At 48.3% G+C, this 17,956-nt stretch overlaps 1 protein-coding gene across 1 annotated transcript in view, besides 3 other annotated features; it reads left to right on the top strand.

The window, feature by feature from the left end:
• Nucleotides 3,144-3,664: an enhancer, noted in NCBI's record as "H3K4me1 hESC enhancer chr8:23273382-23273902 (GRCh37/hg19 assembly coordinates)". NCBI's record gives its function as "activates a minimal SCP1, AML or CMV promoter by ChIP-STARR-seq in primed H9 embryonic stem cells {active_cell/tissue: H9 hESC(primed)}" and the evidence as "EXISTENCE:reporter gene assay evidence [ECO:0000049][PMID:30033119]".
• Nucleotides 8,903-9,197: a silencer, noted in NCBI's record as "tiled region #13358; K562 Repressive DNase matched - State 12:CtcfO". NCBI's record gives its function as "represses a minimal TATA promoter and a strong SV40 promoter by Sharpr-MPRA in K562 cells {active_cell/tissue: K562}" and the evidence as "EXISTENCE:reporter gene assay evidence [ECO:0000049][PMID:27701403]".
• Nucleotides 8,918-9,037: an enhancer, noted in NCBI's record as "active region_27117". NCBI's record gives its function as "activates an Ori minimal core promoter by ATAC-STARR-seq in GM12878 lymphoblastoid cells {active_cell/tissue: GM12878}" and the evidence as "EXISTENCE:reporter gene assay evidence [ECO:0000049][PMID:35858748]".
• LOXL2 (lysyl oxidase like 2) overlaps nt 15,413-17,956 on the top strand; it is a 107,224-nt gene continuing 104,680 nt past the window's right edge. Inside the window, exon 1 of the mRNA NM_002318.3 lies at nt 15,413-15,579. The gene's annotated coding sequence lies outside the window, so the exon portion shown is untranslated. The remainder of the gene's footprint in view (nt 15,580-17,956) is intronic.

Genomic DNA, 17,956 nt, shown 5'->3' with positions numbered 1-17,956 from the left:
TGAGGGCCCTAGGAGGCGAATATACTTACCAAGAGCAGGGGACACTTGAGCTCAATAGGAAAGGCTGTGGAGCTTTCAGAGGGGACCGTACAGGAAAACGCGGTGGGCAGAATTAACAGCACGAAGGCAGGGCCTACAATGTGGAAAAGCACAGACACAGTTGTGCAGGCTGGAAGTCAAGTTGAGGAGTCCGCAGGGCGACGCTCCCTCTGAGACCTTGCAGAATCCTTCCTTGCCCCTTCCTGGTTTCTGGCGGTGACCAGCGATCCTCAATGGTCCTTGGCCTGCAGCTGTGTCACTTTTATCTCTGCCTCGGTCTTCACGTGGCATTTTCCTCTTCTTATAAGGACACCTGTCATATTGGATAGGGACCTGCCCTGATGACTTCATCTTAAATTTACTGCGTTTGCAAAGACTCAGTTTCAAACAACGTCACATTCAGAGCTCCCAGAGTTAGGACTTCAACATAACTTTTGGGGGAACACACGTCAACCCCCAACTGGAAGTCTTGCTTGACTGAGTTCAGGTCCTTCTCTCTGCTCGCATGGCATCTTTTTATCGAATTTGTCATTGGAAGTGTCTGTTTATATACTTGTCACCCTGCCCTCTGTCCCACCTCCAAGACTATGAGCTTTCCTTTTTTTTCTTTAGAGGCAGAGTCTTGCTCTGTCACCCAGGCTGGAGTGCAGTGATGCAATCATAGCTCACTGCAGCCTCAAACTCCCGGCTCAATCAATTCTCCCGCCTAGGTCTCTCAAGTGGCTGGGACTACAGGTGCATGCCACCACACCCAGCTAAGTTCTTCATTTTTTGTAAAGACAGGGTCTCATTATGTTGCCCAGGCTGGTCTCTAACTCCTGGGCTCAAGCAGTTCTCCCACCTTGGCCTCTCAAAGCACAGAGATTATAGGAGTGAGCCACCGTGCCCGGCCTGCTGAGTTCTTTAAGAACAGGGACCCCACGTAATCTTTATTTCCGTGTCCCCATGGCCCAGCGCCCTGGATCATTTGTAGTAAGCATCTGATGAAAGGAGCTTGCACTCAGAAAGCCCTGGCTGTGGCCTGGAGTCAGAAGGCCCAGCCAAGCCCTGCCTCTGTCACTTCAAATGTGGCCTTCAGCAAGCCATGTCACTTCTCTGGACTTCAGTTTCCAATCCTATAAAATGTGAGTAAGAACTCCTGTCATACCTGCCTCACAGAGAGGTCGAGGGGCTCCAAGATGATGCGTGTGATGAAAGCCCTTCGGAGCCACTGTCTGTAAAATGGAGAGAGTTGTGACATTCATTCTTTTCCAGCCCAGGACTTTATCTCCTGCTCCATCTTTCCTGACTCAGGCCTCAACTGCAGCCTCGGTCATCCCGTCTGGAAGGTTTGCCTCAGAGCCCAGCCAAGGTCTGGGCAGGTCTGGGCATCCCATGATTGGAGTTGGAGGTCACCTGCAGAGAAACAATGTCACCACCCAGTGGCTGCGCAACCCAGTTTAGTTCCAACCTGAACTGCCCTGCTGAAAAGACAATGTGACCTTTGCAGCATAATCACTGCCAAAAGTAGTCATTTTATAGCAGAAATACAGAGATACTGGGTGAACTCTACAAAGTGGAAGAGACAAGAAAGGTGAAGTTTTCCTCCACCTCTCATTGCAGCTCCACTGTTGGAGGGGCCACAGGGATGGGGTAATGGGACCAATTTATTCCCGTGGATAGTAGTTCCCCTGGGTGTCTACATCCAGGGCTCTTCCTCTGGTGTTTGTCTACTCTGGGTGTTTACACCCTGCCAGAGCAGAGGCTGGCTTAAGACCTGTGGGTGGGCAGATCCCAGGGTCCCTCACTCTCACACAGGCAGGTTTTAGCCCATGTTGGTGAGGCGTGAGTCACAGGCTGGAGAGGAATTCACTTCAAGTCAGTGGTTTGGGATGGCAGGGATATTCATTTCCTGATTCTCCTTGCATTGCGCCTCTCTTAATAATTACACCTAATAATGACGGAACAATGTTCTCTTGTTAGAGAACATTCACATTTAATTTATTTGGCTTCCTTAACAGCTTTGTGAGATATGTAGGGGATATAAAATTATATCTCAATCTATGAAAAAGAACACCAAGATTCAGGGAAAATGGGACAATGCCATTTTTACAGTGAGGAGGAGGCTTTGTTATCTAAGTCAATGCCCCATTTCCTGAGGGGAAATCTAAGACTGGAATCCAAGTTGCCTGATGTCCCTGGAGCTCTCCCCAATGATAAGTCTTGGTCAGTTTGGAGGAAGTGGCTCCAGCTGCTCCTGACATATCACCAGCTCTAAAAAAATGAAATTAAAAGGGCAAATAAGGTCTTAGTTTTATTTTAAAAATAGTTTGATCCAGTGGACCCCCTGAAAGGGTCTTGGTAACTCCCAGTGGTCCCCAACCATACTTCTAGAACAACCGCTGGCCCAGAGCAGGAAGGTAAACTGTGGAGGGGGTGAACAGAGAAGCAAAGTCTCCAGTGTCCCAGTGTTGGTCACAGCCAGCTGTGGCTGGAAGGCTGGGAAGGGAACACCACTCATATGTTTGTCTCAGTCAGCTCAGCTGCTATGACAAAACACCAGACTGGGTGGCATAAACAACAGACATTTCTCATGGTTCTGGAGGCTGGGAAGTTCAAGGTCAAGATGCTGGCCAATTTGGTTCCTGGTTCATAGACCCATCTTTTCACTGGACCTTTCCTGGCAAACAGAAAGAGTGATTTCTCTCTCTGCCTCTTCATAGAAAGCCACTAATAAAATAAAATCCTGAGGGCCCTTCCTCATGACCTCATCTAACCCTAATTACCTCCCCAAGACCTCATGTCCAAATAACATCTCATTGGGAGTTACCGCTTTAATGCGAATTTTGAAGGGACATAATTCAGTCCAGAGACGTGTTCGTCCTATTTTGCTGCTAACGCTATTGAGGTCTGGGGGCTCTTTTTCCTGAACCATGGCTTCCTCTGAACATCTCATCCTCTGCCCACCATGGGCACCTCCTGGAGTGCAGGGGGCTGGCGGGCAGAGCAGAATTTGTACCTTTCCCGCCTCCCCTGTGGTGCAGACCTGGGTCTGGGCTCACAGGAGGCTCATAAATACCAGTGACTGGAACAGAGCAGTCAGGCTGTGTCCTCAGCCAACCCTGAGCGCCCTGAGCAGGCATCTCATATGCTTTCTGGGAGACCAGTGAGGCTGTGCTGGGCTGCAGCCCGGAGCGTGGGCCTTGCCAAGCGCCAGCCCATCTCTCTGCAGAAAAGCTCCCATTTTTGTCTGGTGCTCCCCCTTCCCTCTTTCAGCTGCATCTTTGAGACAAGGTGGTCAGAGCTGGCAGAAGCCAGGTGTCTGGGAATGAGATTTGAATCAGCTTTTTTTCCCCTCTGCATGACTGTGCTAGGTGAAAGTCTCCCTTTTCTCTCAGCAGGAGACTTTCCATGTGGAGGGGGCAAAAGGGAAGTTAGGAGAAGCAGCAAAATGAGAATATTGGCCCAGCTTGTCTTCAGAATCTGTCACCCCATGTTCCGAGCATAGTTCAAATTGCCAGGGTCCATCCGCTGTAGCCCCTCCCTACCTGCCCCATTCCCAGATGTCCTGGGGCTCCTGCAGGAGGAAGGATTAAGCTGGCCTCCCTGGTCTGTGACTCTCTCATGCCACCCAGCACCTACTCCAGTCTGGAATGCTTTGCTCTTCTTTCCAGGTCATTCCTCCTCTCACCTCAATTTCCTCCTCCTGCACATGGGCGCCCCCTCCAGACTCCATGCAGCCCCTACCACCATCTCCAATCCCTCAGATCTCTGCTTGCTGCAGGGTGCCAGGCATTTGCAATGAATCTCACATTGCTTTTTCTTGTTATTGAATATGAGATCGTCTCTCTCAAATCAGAATATAAGAAGCCCCTTGAAGACTACATCAAGTGTTATTCATTCCTAGTACCCTCCCTTCCTTCCGAATGTTGTCCTTCTTTCTCCTACTCCCACCCCACAAAACACAAACACAAACACACACACACACACACACACACACACACACACACTCGTAGACAGGGAGGTATGATGGCATTCTAGATGCTTGGTGGAAAACAATTTGGAGAATGAAAAGACAAGCCACGAACTTGGAGAAAATTTTGCAAAACACATTATCTGATAAAAGACTTCTGTCCAAAAGATACAAAGAACTTTTAAAAGTCAACACCCAATTTTTAGAAATGAACAAAAATACAAAAAATAGCCGGGTGTGGTGGTAGGCACCTGTAATCCCAGCTACTCAGGAGGCCAAGGCAGGAGAATCGCTTGAACCCGGGAGGCAGAGGTTGCAGTGAGCCAAGCTCACACCACTGCACTCCAGCCTGGGTGACAGAGCAAGACTCTGCCTCAAAAAAAAAGTGGGGGGCAAAAGATCTGAGCAGATACCTCACCAAAGATGTACAGATGGCAAACACAGACATGAAAAGATCCTCCACATCATATGTTATTAGAATTGCAAATTAAAACAATAATGAGACACCACTGGGCATCTGTTGGAATGGCTAATTCTAATAGATGGCTAAAATCCAGAACACTGACAACACCAAATGCTGACAAAGATGTAGAGTAACAGCAACTTTCATTCGCTGCTAGTTGGAATGCAAAATGGTACAGGCACTTCTGAAGACAATTTGGCAGTTTCTTTTTTTTCTTCTTCTTTTTTTTTTTTTTTCGAGACGGAGTCTCACTCTGTCGCCCAGGCTGGAGTGTAGTGGCGCAATCTTGGCTCACTGCAAGCTCTGCCTCCCAGGTTCACGCCATTCTCCTGCCTCAGCCTCCTGAGTAGCTGGGACTACAGGCGCCCGCCACCACGCCCGGCTAATTTTTTGTATTTTTAGTAGAGACAGGGTTTCACCATGTTAGCCAGGATGGCCTCGATCTCCTGACCTTGTGATCCGCCTGACTCAGCCTCCCGAAGTGCTGGAATTACAGGCGTGAGCCACCACGCCCGGCCAGTTTGGCAGTTTCTTACAAAACCAGACGTATTTTTACAATAAGATCCAGCAACTGGTGTTTGTACTCCTTGATATTTGCCCACAGGAGTTGAAAGCTTAAGTCCACACAAAAACTTATACATGAATGTTTACAATAGCTTCATTCATAATAGCTCAAACTCAGAAACAACCAAGATGTCTTTTAATAGATGAATGGGTAAATAAACTGTGGTACATCCCAACAGTGGAATATTATTCAGCAATTTGAAAAATGAGCTCTCAGCCGGGCACGGTGGCTTATGCCTGTAATCCGAGGTGAATGGATCATTTGAGGTCAGGAGTTCAAGACCAGTCTGGCCAACATGGTGAAACCCCGTTTCTACTAAAAATACAAAAATTCGCTGGGCATGGTGGTGAGCGCCTGTTATCCCAGCTACTCGGGAGGCTGAGGCAGGAGAATCACTTGAACCCAGGAGGCAGAGGTTGCAGTGAGCCAAGATCGTGCCACTGCTCTTGAGACTCTGTCTAAAAAAAAAAAAAAGAAAGAAAAAAGAAAAGAAAAAGAAAAATGAGCTATCAGGCCATGAGCAGGCGTGGAATCTTAAATGTCTATCGCTAAGTGAGACCGGTTGCAGTGGCTCACGCCTGTAATCGAAGCACTTCAGAAGGCTGAGGTGGGAGCATCACTGGGCAATATAGTGAGACCCTGTCTCTAAACATAAATAAATAATTATGTACATAATTAAGTGAAAGAGACCCCTCTTGGAGAGTCTACATACTGTATGACTCCAACTATGGGACACTCTGGAGTCGGCAAAACTATGGAGACGGTGAAAAGATCCGTGGTTGCCAGGGATTATGGGGAAGGGAGGGGTAAAAAGGTGGAACACAGGGAATTTTTAGGGCAATGAAACCATTCTGCATGATGCTGCAATGATGGATACATTTGTGAAAACCCATTGAATGTACAACACAAAGAATAAGCCCTAATGTAAACTGCGGACTTCAGTTAATAATAATGTGTCCATACTGGCTCATCAATTGTGATAAATGTGCCACCGAAATGCAAGATGAAAATAGTAGAGGAAACTCACTGTGTATGAGGGGCATATGGGAGCTCTCTACATTTTCTGTTTATTTTTTTCTGTAAATCTAAAACTGCTCTTAAAATTTTTAAAGAATCATAACTAGAAAAAAGCTGTCAATTTGAAGCTAACAAGTCACGTCCATGTAAATTAGTTTCAAACTGAGTGGCACTTGCTGTCTGCCAGGCATTGGGCTCTGAGCACTTCACACGCATACATTCATTTCAGCCTTACAAGAATCCTATGAGGTCCCTCCCTATTTTACAGGTGAGAAAACTGAGGCCCAGTGAAGTTAAATAACTTGCTCAGTTATGGTTAGTAAGTGGTGGAGCTGCGATTCAAACCCAGGCAGTGTTGCTCCAGCTACTATACTCTAAACCACATATTACCCCGCATTACTCTTCCCCAAACTTTTCATTTTATTTTATTTCTTTTTTTTTTTTTTTTTTTTTTTGAGACAGAGTCTGGCTCTGTCACCCAGGCTGGAGTGCAGTGACGCGATCTTGGCTCACTGCAAGCTCCGCCTCCCGGGTTCACGCAATTCTCCTGCCTCAGCCTCTGGAGTAGCTGGGTCTACAGGTGCCCGCCAACATGCCTGGCTAATGTTTTGTATTTTTAGTAGAAATGGGGTTTCACCGTGTTAGCCAGGATGGTCTTGATCTCCTGACCTCGTGATCCGCCCATCTCGGCCTCCCAAAGTGCTGGGATTACAGGCGTGAGCCACCGCACCCAGCCTATTTCATTTATTTATTTAGAGATAGGATCTTGCTACGTTGCCCAGGCTGGAGTGCAATGGCATCATCATAGTTCACTGCAGTCTTCACCTCCTGGGATCAAGCTATCCTCCCATCTCAGCCTCCCAAAGTGCTGGGATTACATACAGGCATGAGCCATCAAGCCTGGACCAAACTTTTCATTTTGAAAGAGGATAGAAAAGGGGCACCCAAGGGACTAATTTTTAAAATCAACTTTATTATGGAGTAATTTACCTAAAATAAAGTCACCCATTTTAAGTGTTCAGTTTCATGAGTTTGGGACAAACACATATGCTAATATAAACACCACCACAATCAAGGAATAGGCCATTTCCATCACTACAGAAAGCTTCCTCATGCTCCTTCCCAGGCCACCTCACCCACCTCCAGCCTCAGGCCACCAGTGATCTGCTTTCAGTCCCTGCTGTTTAGTTTAGACTTTTCTAGAGTTTTCTAGAGTTATGACTGGATCATACAGTATGTCTCCTTTTTGTGGCTGGCTTTTTTGTGCATGTCAGAGTTGGGGGCAGGCATCCTGATATGTTTGAGATTCAACCATACTGTTTGCTATGGTTTGAATGTGTCCGCCAGAGTTCATGTGTTGGAAACTTAACCCCCAGTGCATCAGAGCTGGGTGTTGGGGTCTGATAAGAGGTGACTAGGTCATGACAGCTCTGTCCTCATGAATGAATTAATGTTATTTCAAGAGTGGGCTTTTTGTAAAGGGGACTCTGGCCCCCTCTTGCTCTCTTGCTTGCTCTCCCTTCCAAGTGCCATGCCCTTGGACTTCCCAGCCTCCAGAACCATGAGTCAAATATATTTCTGTTCATTTTAAATTACCAAGTCTGTGGTATTCTGTTATAGCAACAGAAAATGGACTAAAACAGTGTTGCATGTATTGGTAGTTCACTCAAAGGAACTAATTTCTAATTGCAAGATTTCAGATATGTTAATCCCCAGGAGAGGAAAGCACACTTTTTTTATTATTATTATGACTAGGACCTTCCCAGGCTGCTTGAGTTGTACTGATCCTGGTCCCACTTCAAAGCAGGGGAGGCACTGAGTGACATCACCCTGAACTGGACCCCAAATGGGCTCCAAGCACAGGAAGTTGTTGGAGGGATTGAGTCACTCCCAACTCAAGCGGGTGATGGAAAGGGCAAGTTAGTCATGTAACCTGGTCTCATGGAATGCTTCTCCCTCCCAGACTGAATTTCCTTCTTTGCTGAATACACAGGACTGCCCTGCATAGCCTTCTTCATTAGAGAAAGCTATGAGAAGCTTTGAGCTCCTCCAAGTAAACTGTTTCATACTCTCAAACAGGCTGTTAATGATGATGATTAATAATAAATTAAGCAAAAGAAGGCCAGGTGCAGTGGCTCATGCTTGTAATCCCAGCACTTTGGGAGGCCGAGGCAGGTCAATCACTTGAGGTCAGGAGTTAGAGACCAGCCTGACCAACATGGTGAAACCCCATGTCTACTAAAAATACACACACACACACACACACACACACACACACACACACACACACACACAAATTAGCTGAGCGTGGTGACGCACGCCTGTAATCCCAGCTACTCAGGAAGCTGAGGCAGGAGAATGGCTTGAAGCCAGGAGGTGGAGGTTTCAGTGAGCCGAGATTGCATCACTGCACTCCAGCCTGGGCAACAAGAGTGAAACTCTGTCTTAAAAAATATATGTAATAACAATAATAATAATAAAGTAAGCAAAAGAAAAGGAAAGGGATGAAGTTAGCACACTGTGGTTGACAGAATAATTTTACATCCTAGAAAATAGATTAAATGAAATTACACTTTTCAATGTAAAAACGTTGTGTTTCCTGGGAAAAAGGCAGATGCGTCCTAACCACTCCTGATTGCATACATATGCAATTTACAATTGTACTTTCTGAGCAGATTTGGAACTCTCCTGGGGCTTAGCTGACTTGGTCTGGGTCTGGTCTCAGCACCCCTGCTAAAGCCTCCTAGGGAAGGTGCTCGGGTTGACAGCTCTCTGGGCCTCTGGTTCCATGTCTGTAAACAAGATGCTTGGAGCACAATTTCTCAAGTTACCTGGCGGCTCTTTAGATCTTAACCCTTTAAATCTCTAGAATTTTAGGGTTTCAACCCCATTGGTATAGCTTGGCCCTGAAGAGAGCAAGCGCACATTGCCGTGTGAGAGACAGACCACTAAGGGGCGCTGCTTCCTCGGAGGAGGCGGGAGTTCTCCTCCTCCTCCGCATTCTCTCCTCTGATGAAACCACACTCATCAAAAGTGGTTGTGACAGAATGCTCAGATTTGGAATGATGAGAAACACGGAAGCCACATCATAGGACCTGATAGATATCTGGCCAACACAGGAACACTGGAATATGTGATCTATGTGACCATCCCCTTCCCAAGGCCAGATCGAACACCCACCCCTTGACATATACCAACGTTAATTGCTTAATGACACGAGGAAATACATTCTGAAAAATTCGTCATTAGGCGATTTTGTCATTGTGCAAACATCACAGAATGTACTTATGCAACCCTAGGTGATATAGCTTACTACACTCCTAGGGTATATGGGATAGACTGTTGCTCCTGCACTACAGATTTGTATAGCATATGACTGTTCTGAATACTGCAGGCATTTGTAACACAGTGGTAAGTATTTGGGTATCTAAACATATCTAAACATAGAAAAGATACAATTTAAAAAAATGATAAGGCCAGGCACGGTGGCTCACGCCTGTAATCCCAGCATTTTGGGAGGCCGAGGTGGGCGGATCACGAAGTCAGGAGATCGAGACCATCCTGGCTAACACGGTGAAACCTCGTCTCTACTAAAAATACTAAAAATTAGCCGGACGTGGTGGCGGGCGCCTGTAGTCCCAGCTACTCCGGAGGCTGAGACAGGAGAATGGGGTGAACCTGGGAGATGGAGCTTGCAGTGAGCGAAGATCGCGTCACTGCAGCCTGGGCAACAGAGCCAGACTCCGTCTCAAAAACAAAAAACAAAGAACAAACAAAAAAGATAGACCGGTTTAGGGAAGGCATTTCCCATGAAGGGAGCTTGCAGGACTGGAAGTTGCTTTGGCTGAGTCAGGGAGTGCGTGGTGAGTGAATGTACACTGTACACTGCTGTGGGCTTTATAAACACTGCACACTTAGGCTACACTCAATTTATACATAATACTTATTTTTTCAATAATAAATTAGCCTGAGCTTACTGTAACTCTTTTACTTTATAAACTTTTTAGTTTTTAAAACATTTTTTGACTCTTGTAATAACACTTAGCTTCAAACACAAACACTTTGTACAGCTGTACCAAATTTTTAAATTTCTTTAGTATTCTGTAAGCTTTTTTTCTATTTTAAAAATTATTTACTTTTGTCTGTGTTGTAAACTTTTTTGTTAAAGACGAAGACACAAACACGCACATTAGCCTAGGCCCGCACAGGGTCAGGATCATCAATGTCAGTCCTCCACCTCCACATCTTGGTCCAGGAAGGTCTTCAGGGGCGTTAACAGACATGGAGCTGTCATCTCCTAGGATAACAATGCCTTCTTCTGGATACTTCCTGAAGCACCTGACTGAGGATGTTTTACAGTTAGGCTTGTTTTTTTTTGTTTTTTTTTTTTTTGAGATGGAGTCTCACTCTGTCACCCAGGCTGGAGTGCAGTGGCACAATCTCGTCTCACTACAACCTCCACCTCCCGGGTTCAAGTGATTCTCCCACCTCAGCCTCCCAAGTAACTGGGATTACAGGCGCCCGCCACCATGCCTGGGCTAATTTTTATATTTTTTAGTAGAGACAGGGTTTCACCGTATTGGCCAGGCTGGTCTCGAACTCCTGACCACAGGTCATCCGCTTGCCTTGGCCTCCCAAAGTGATGGGATAACAGGCATGAGCCACTGCACCCGGACAGCTTTTTTTTTTTTTTAATAAGTAAAAGTACACCCTAAAATAACAATTAAAAGTATAGTATAGTAAATATATAAGCCAGTACCATAGTGATTTATTATCATTATCAATTATTATGTACTATACGTAGTGACATGTGCTAGACTGTCATATGACTGGCAGCTTGTATGTTGTTTACACCAGCATCACTACAAACACATGAATAATTTATTGCATGACAATGTCACAACAGCTATGGCGTCAATAGGAGAGAGAAATTTTTCAGCTCTATTATAACATTATGAGACCACCAAGTGATACGGGACCACCAACATATACCTGGACCATCATTGACTGAAATGGCATTATGCGGCACGTGACAATATTTCCAAATCACCTTCCCAGATGGCTGGATCAATGTTTGTTTGGTTGGTTGATTGGTTCCCCATTTAATTCAACAAATAGACCATATGGAGCCTCTTCTGCAGTTCTATAAATTTAACTACTCGTTTCTGCATTTTTATTCATCTAAGTAATCATTACTAATACCTACTAAAATTATTCCTACTTTCCCACTTCATCAGACGGGCCTTCCCTGGCCACCCCTACTGGACTAGCACCTGAGCCTCCTTCACCTTCTGTGCTCACCAGCTTTAGTCTTCTCTGTAGCACTCTGTCACCAACCGACTCCCACATTTCCTCATTTCTGTGTCTTTGTGTCTTGTCAGTCTCCTACTCTGGCATATAAGCACCATGAAGGCACAGACCGGCTACAGCATTGGCTGGGCCTCCCTGGAGCCTCAGGCTATGCCTACTGGGACATGCTATGCTTCTTTCAATCTAAGTCGGTCCAGACTGGTAGGAGAGTGATTTGGCAAGAGAGTGCAAAAGCCAAGGGAAAAAAAAGAAAGAATCGCCTCTAGCCTTTGACTCAGTAATCACATTCTGGGAATGGATCCTAATGCAGTAATTCACATGACCCCTGGGGATGGGGTGGACAGGAGGTGTTGCCTTCCCTCTCCCTGTGTGGGGTCTGAAGCCCTGAGGGACAAGGAGTCACTGTGCCCTCCTCAAAGATGCCCTCCTCACAACGCAACATTTATTGTCCAAGTACCATACGAGGGACTGTTCTGAGTCTGAGCCCATTCAGTCCTTTTACTCCTTTGGAGCTTTTTTTTTTTTTTTAACAGATACCGCTTTGTCACCCGGGCTGGAGTGCAGTGGCATGATCTCAGTTCAAATGCAGCCTTGACTTCCTGGGCTCAAGTGATCCTCCTGCCTCAGCGCCCCAAGTAGCTAGGACTACAAGCCCATACCACCACGCCTGGCTAATTTTTATATTTTTTGTAGAGACAGGGTTTTGCCATGTTGCCCAGGCTGGTCTCAAACTCCTGGACTCAAGCAACCCACCCACCTTGGCCTCCCACAGTGCTGAGATTACAAGCTTAAGCCACTCCACTCAACCTCTTAGGAGCATTTTGAGGCGCTTCTTACAGATGAAGCATGTGAAGGAAAAGGGAGTTCACATCAGTTAATGGTGGAGCCAAGATTTGAACCCAGGCCCCCTGACTGCACAAGCATGCCCTGAACCTACTGTACGACTCTGCCTCTGCAGCAGTGCAGGACCTGAGTGGTGGAGGTGGCAGGGTGGGAGGTGTATCCAGACTTACAGACATAAGGCATCCCGCCATCATTTTGTTTCATCTGGGACAAGGGTCTACTGTTGTCCTGAAGTAGTCTCCTAGGTCTTGATTTCAATTCAACAAAAGGGCATCAATAAAACACTCAGTGCAAACTTCAGATACTCTACTCATTTCCTCTTGGAAGTGAGGACATGGTAAGGCAGAGATGGACTTACTGAGGCCTCCAGTGTGGGCCACTAATACTTGCTGGACGAGTCAAGCTCCTTTTGGTTCTCCCAGCTCGGCCATTCCCTGCCTCTGTGACGCTGGGAAAATCACTTCTCTGAGCCAGGGCTTTCTCATCTGTAACAATTAGCAGGAACCACACTGTACCCAATCAATAAATATTACTTTCACAGGGGTAATTGTCATGGCGTAATTTACACTAGCAAAAAGCTGTAAACAACTGAATATCCAATAATGGAGAAATGACTCCATTGCACAATAATTTCAGACCAGAACTGTCTAAAACCATTAAAAATTACATTGAAAAATTAACACAAAATGATATAGTAAAAAAAATCAGAGGCCAGGTGAAGTGGCTCACGTCTGTAATCCCAGCACTTTGGGAGGCAGAGGTGGGTGGATCACTTGAAACCAGGAGTTCAAGGACAGCCCGGCCAGCATGGTGAAACCCTGTCTCTACTAAAAATACAAAAATTAGCCACACGTGATGGCACATGCCTGTAATCCCAGCTACTCGGGAGGCTGAGACAGACTTGGGAAGCTGAACCTGGGAGGGGGAGGTTGCAGTGAGCCGAGACTGCGCCACTGAACTCCAGCTTGGGAGTCAGAGCTAGAGTCTGTCTCAAAAAAAAAAAAAAAAAAAAATCAGGATACAAAAACTGTAACTACAATTTGGTTGAACAAATATTCTGAAGGAAAGACTCCAAACAGTAGGTGTTTATGGGTGATAAGACACCAGAGTGACAATTTCTTCCTTACATTTTACATATTTTCTGAATATTTCACAAGAAGTTTGCTTTTCTTTATAACAGACAAAAGATTATTTACAAAGTTGGTCTCCTTTCATTTTCTACCTTATTAGTGAATGCTTTAGCAAGAGAGGGTAGGACTAGAAGTGGAAGGATGGGAGATGGGGAAAGGGGAGAGCTCAGTTTCACCAGCATTTATTGAGCATCTGGTACGTCCAGGCACTGTGTAGGGTGTGACAGCTGAGTGAAAGCTCAATAACCAGGCATTACTGTGCAGAGAAGCCAAGGGAATGTCACGTTCAAAGGTCCTGGGGTGTGAAATAGAAGGCTTATAGGAGCACAGAAAGTAAGGCCCAGGGGGAGAGGTGAGATGTGGTTGGCAGTTGGGCAGGCTGGAAATGCCCCAGAGGCCCTGTCAGCTTAATCAAGGGATTCAGATTACATTTTTCTTTTTCTGAGACGGAGTCTCGCTCTGTCCCCGAGGCTGGAGTGCAGTGGCGGGATCTCGGCTCACTGCAAGCTCCGCCTCCCGGGTTCACCCCATTCTCCTGCCTCAGCTTCCCGAGTAGCTGGGACTACAGGCGCCCGCCACCACGCCCGGCTAATTTTTTGTATTTTTAGTAGAGACGGGGTTTCACCATGTTAGCCAGGATGGTCTCGATCTCCTGACCTTGTGATCCGCCTGCCTCGGCCTCCCAAAGTGCTGGGATTACAGGCATGAGCCACCGCACCCAGCCAGGATTCAGATTACATTTTGAGGACCTTGGAGCCACGGAGGATTTTTTTAAATTTTTAATTGAAATTTTATTGGGTGTATTACGTTCTATACAATTTTATCACCTGTGTGGTTTTCTGTATCTCAAGACACTGAATAGTTCCACCACCACAAAGATCCCTCCTCCTGCCTTTGATAACTACACCCCCTTCCTCTGACCCTTGCCCTCTACTGCCCACCAGAGTCAGGGACTGATCAGTGGGGAGGGTAAGGAGGAGGCAACGGAGAAGACCCCATATCTGCCTGGGAGAGCTCACAGGAGTCAAGGTGGACCGTGAGTTGCAGTGCCAAGTTTGGGGCTTGCCAGGTTAGCTACGGCCATGGGAATGTCCAGGTGAAAGTCTTTCGGGGCCAATGGATTTAAATATCCATGGCTTAGGAGAGAAGCCTGGGCTGGAGGTGAGATTTGGGAGGGGTTTGTCTCCTCAGGGAGTGGAGTAAGAGAGGACTGAGGAAGGAGCCGCCTTTCAGGTGACAGTCTACTTCTGCACAGGGGTCCCTTGTTTTGCAGCTCGCTGCCTCCTTGGGACTGGCAAAGCCCTGCTCTTGCTTAAGGAGCCCTCTCTGTGCAGAGGGCTCTCCCAGCATGCCCATCCCCCACCCGGAGCCTCAGAGCCAGGCACAGGAGGTCCTTCTGCACAATGGCCACGCATTAGCTGTGTCCTGTTCAGTCCCCAAGCACAGGGCTTGTTAATCCCAGCCCTACCATTCCAGGAAGGACCCCAGAGGTCACGGAATCCAAAGCGTTGAATTTACAAAGAAGAAAACTAGTCCTCGGAGAAGAGGCTTGGCCAAGGCCATAGACGTGATCTGCTGGCCGAAAGGGGGCTGTTTATTTACTGGTTCAGGATCGGTTTTCCCCCTACAGGAAAAGGGAGGTGAAACCCAGGCGAGATGGGTGCAAGTTTCTGAACACTTTCATTCGGCAGCTTTAATTGAGCGTGTATTATGTGCCAAGGAGGGCCAGGGTTTTCGGGATAGGAGGTGGACAAGGCACGGGCCCTAAGGCTGGTGGATAAGGACATCGAAGGGTTAAATTCTGGGACGGCTGCAGGGAGGAAAGGGTAGAGGAATCTCCCGAGGAAAGGCCCCCTTCCCGGCATCTCAGGCTCCGGAAACCCGGGCGCGAGGAGCCTGGGAAGGGCTGCCCCGCAGGCCTTGGCCTCCCCCGCGGAGCTCCCTCTGGCCCTGGGAGTGGCCGCTCTCGAATTACAACAAAAGAGGCCGGAGGCCGGGCCTGCTGCGGCGGCCGCCTTCGGGGAAGGGGGTGGGTCCGGGGAGGGGTTTGCCATCCTCCTCTAGTTAAAAGTAAGGGGGAAAAGAGTAAACGCGCGACTCCAGCGCGCGGCTACCTACGCTTGGTGCTTGCTTTCTCCAGCCATCGGAGACCAGAGCCGCCCCCTCTGCTCGAGAAAGGGGCTCAGCGGCGGCGGAAGCGGAGGGGGACCACCGTGGAGAGCGCGGTCCCAGCCCGGCCACTGCGGATCCCTGAAACCAAGTAAGAGCGCTTCCCGCGCCACCCCCTCCCCGAAGCGGTTCGCGAGAAAGCGGGAGCGTCCCTATGGGGTCTCCAGGCTTCGTCCTGCGCGGGGCTGCCTCTCGACAGTGCCTGGGGGTTCCCAAAGACTTCTTGCGGGGAGCGATGCGAGGACGTGCAGGCTAACGGGTCCTCCTGCCGCCCCGGGCGGCCCCGCCCAACCCCACCTCGTACGGGCCGGGCGCGGCGCGGCTGCTGGCGCGCCCGGGGAGCGAGGCGCTGGGTCCCTGGATCGTCCCGAGCGCCCGTAATCAGGCGGGACAGAGCCCGTCAAGTCTCGGTGTGTGCTGGGCGTCTTGGAGAGTGCAGCGTGGCTCCAGGGACAGCGTCTCCGGAATTCTGGCTTTGAGGAGTGGGGCACGCGGGGGACGGGTCGGGAGACAGTGACTGCCCTCGGGGCTGTGGTTTTGGGGATGTAGAGCGTGCTGGGCTGGGACGGAGTGGGGGCGGGGACCCCGGGGGCTGCGCCCGGGAGCTGTAGCGTCCACTGCTTGAACCCGGTTCAACCCCCAGCCTGCTCGAAAGGCTGTTGGGAGCGCGGGAGCGCCGTGAGTCCTGCGGGAGCAGAGGCGCTCTCGGCACGCCAGGTATGCACTCCCAAGTCGCCCTGCCTCTCCGGGGACCAGGGACCCTCTCCCGCCTTCATCACCTAGAAGCCCTGGAGTTGGAAAGAACGGGCACGAGCGAACCCACGGCTACAGCTGATCCCAATCTTGAGCCGTTGGTCCGGTGGTCTGAAGTGCCTACAACTTTTACGCAGGCGCTTTGCCCACCGCGCCCCTTCTCACCAGCCCAAATTTGGAAGCCCTCTGGGTGTGGCTGCCTGCTCGAGGTGTCCCAGGAATCAGCGCTGGAATAGAGATGATTGGGAGAACAAGCGAGGTTCCCTCCTCTCCGTGCCCGAGCTAAGACCATCAAAAAACAGCCGGAGTGCGGGGCGGAGCGGGGCGAGGGTGTGAGGAAGAGAACACCGCAGAACACGGCGAGGGAGGGGGCTGAACTACTCAATATGGTTAGGAAACCCCAAGTCCTGATGAGGGGAGAGATGTGCATGACAGAAACATGCTCCAAATTAGTTTCGTCCCTAAGATCTTGAAACTGCAGAGATCTCAAAAACAATACTTTTTTTTTTTTTCTCCCAGAGGAAGAAAAACGCTGAGGCTCACGGTCACTGAGTTAGTCAATGTGGGGACTGAAACCCATACCTCTTACTCCAGGCCCCTCCCCTACACCACTGCTAGCCTGTCCGTCCTGGAACCCCAAAACAACATTTGTCATCTTTGGTGGAATGAATTAGTTATTGATGGTGTATCATGTACTTAATGGTCAGGGTTGGGGTTTAGGGTGGAAGAGGAAGAGTTCATTTCCCTGGTCAGTTCCCAGATAAGTGACTGACTCACTGGATCCTAACTTGACTAAATTTTTAATCTTTCTCCTCACCTTTGTCCCGTTCCTCTTCCTGGTCCCTAGTATCTGCCCTGGAATGGCCACCAGAGCCATGACAAGATGCGTGCTCCCCATGGGCCCCAGTGGCTACCAAGGCTCTCCCCAAGGAAATTGAGTCTCACTAATCTGTGTGTGCACGCGCGCACGTTTGTGTATGCATGTGTGCACGTGTATGTGTGGGCACATGTATGTGTGCATGTGTGTGTCTCCACACGAGTGTGTTTGTGTATGTGTGTGCACCGGTGTGTGTTTATATGCGCACACAGGTGTGTGTGCGCGGGCACGTGTGTGTGCACGCAATGTGTGTGCATATGTATTCCTGTGTGCATGTGTGCACACCTGTATGTGTATATGTGTATTTGTGTTTGTGTGCATGTTTGCATGTGTATGTGTGTGTGCGCGTTTGTGCACTTGTGTGTATGTGTGTGCACGCATGTGTGCACGTGTGTATATGTATATGTGTGTTTGTGCATGCATGTGCATTTGCTTCCCTGTAACTTTGTGTTAGAAAGTGACTTAGTCTAAGGTCACTTAGGCATTGAGTGGCAAAGTTGAGTATGAAACTCAGGTCTGAAAACAAAACGTACTTAACACCACACATTGGCTGACATTTTAAGTATCACAGATAGGAGATTCTGCAAAGATGCTTCCTTTTATTTTCTTTCCAACTGGCCTCTCCTGGCCTCTTCCCAAGTCCTTGTCCTTTGACCTCTAGATGGCCAGTGTGGAAGGGCTTTGTGAAGGAAACAGATTTTCTGTGCTCTAGATAGACATGACCATCAGCGAAGGTGTTGAGTCCCAGAAAACACTACATTGTTTATTTTTTATTCTCAAAAAATTTCAAGTATGCAAAAAAAGTAGAGAGAAGGGTATAATGATGCCTCATAAGCTT

The sequence above is a fragment of the Homo sapiens genome, chromosome 8 (assembly GCF_000001405.40).
Source record: "Homo sapiens chromosome 8, GRCh38.p14 Primary Assembly".
NCBI classification, from domain to species: domain Eukaryota; kingdom Metazoa; phylum Chordata; class Mammalia; order Primates; family Hominidae; genus Homo; species Homo sapiens.
Note: the sequence above shows the minus strand (reverse complement) of the source record. Positions and strands in the feature narration are given on the sequence as shown.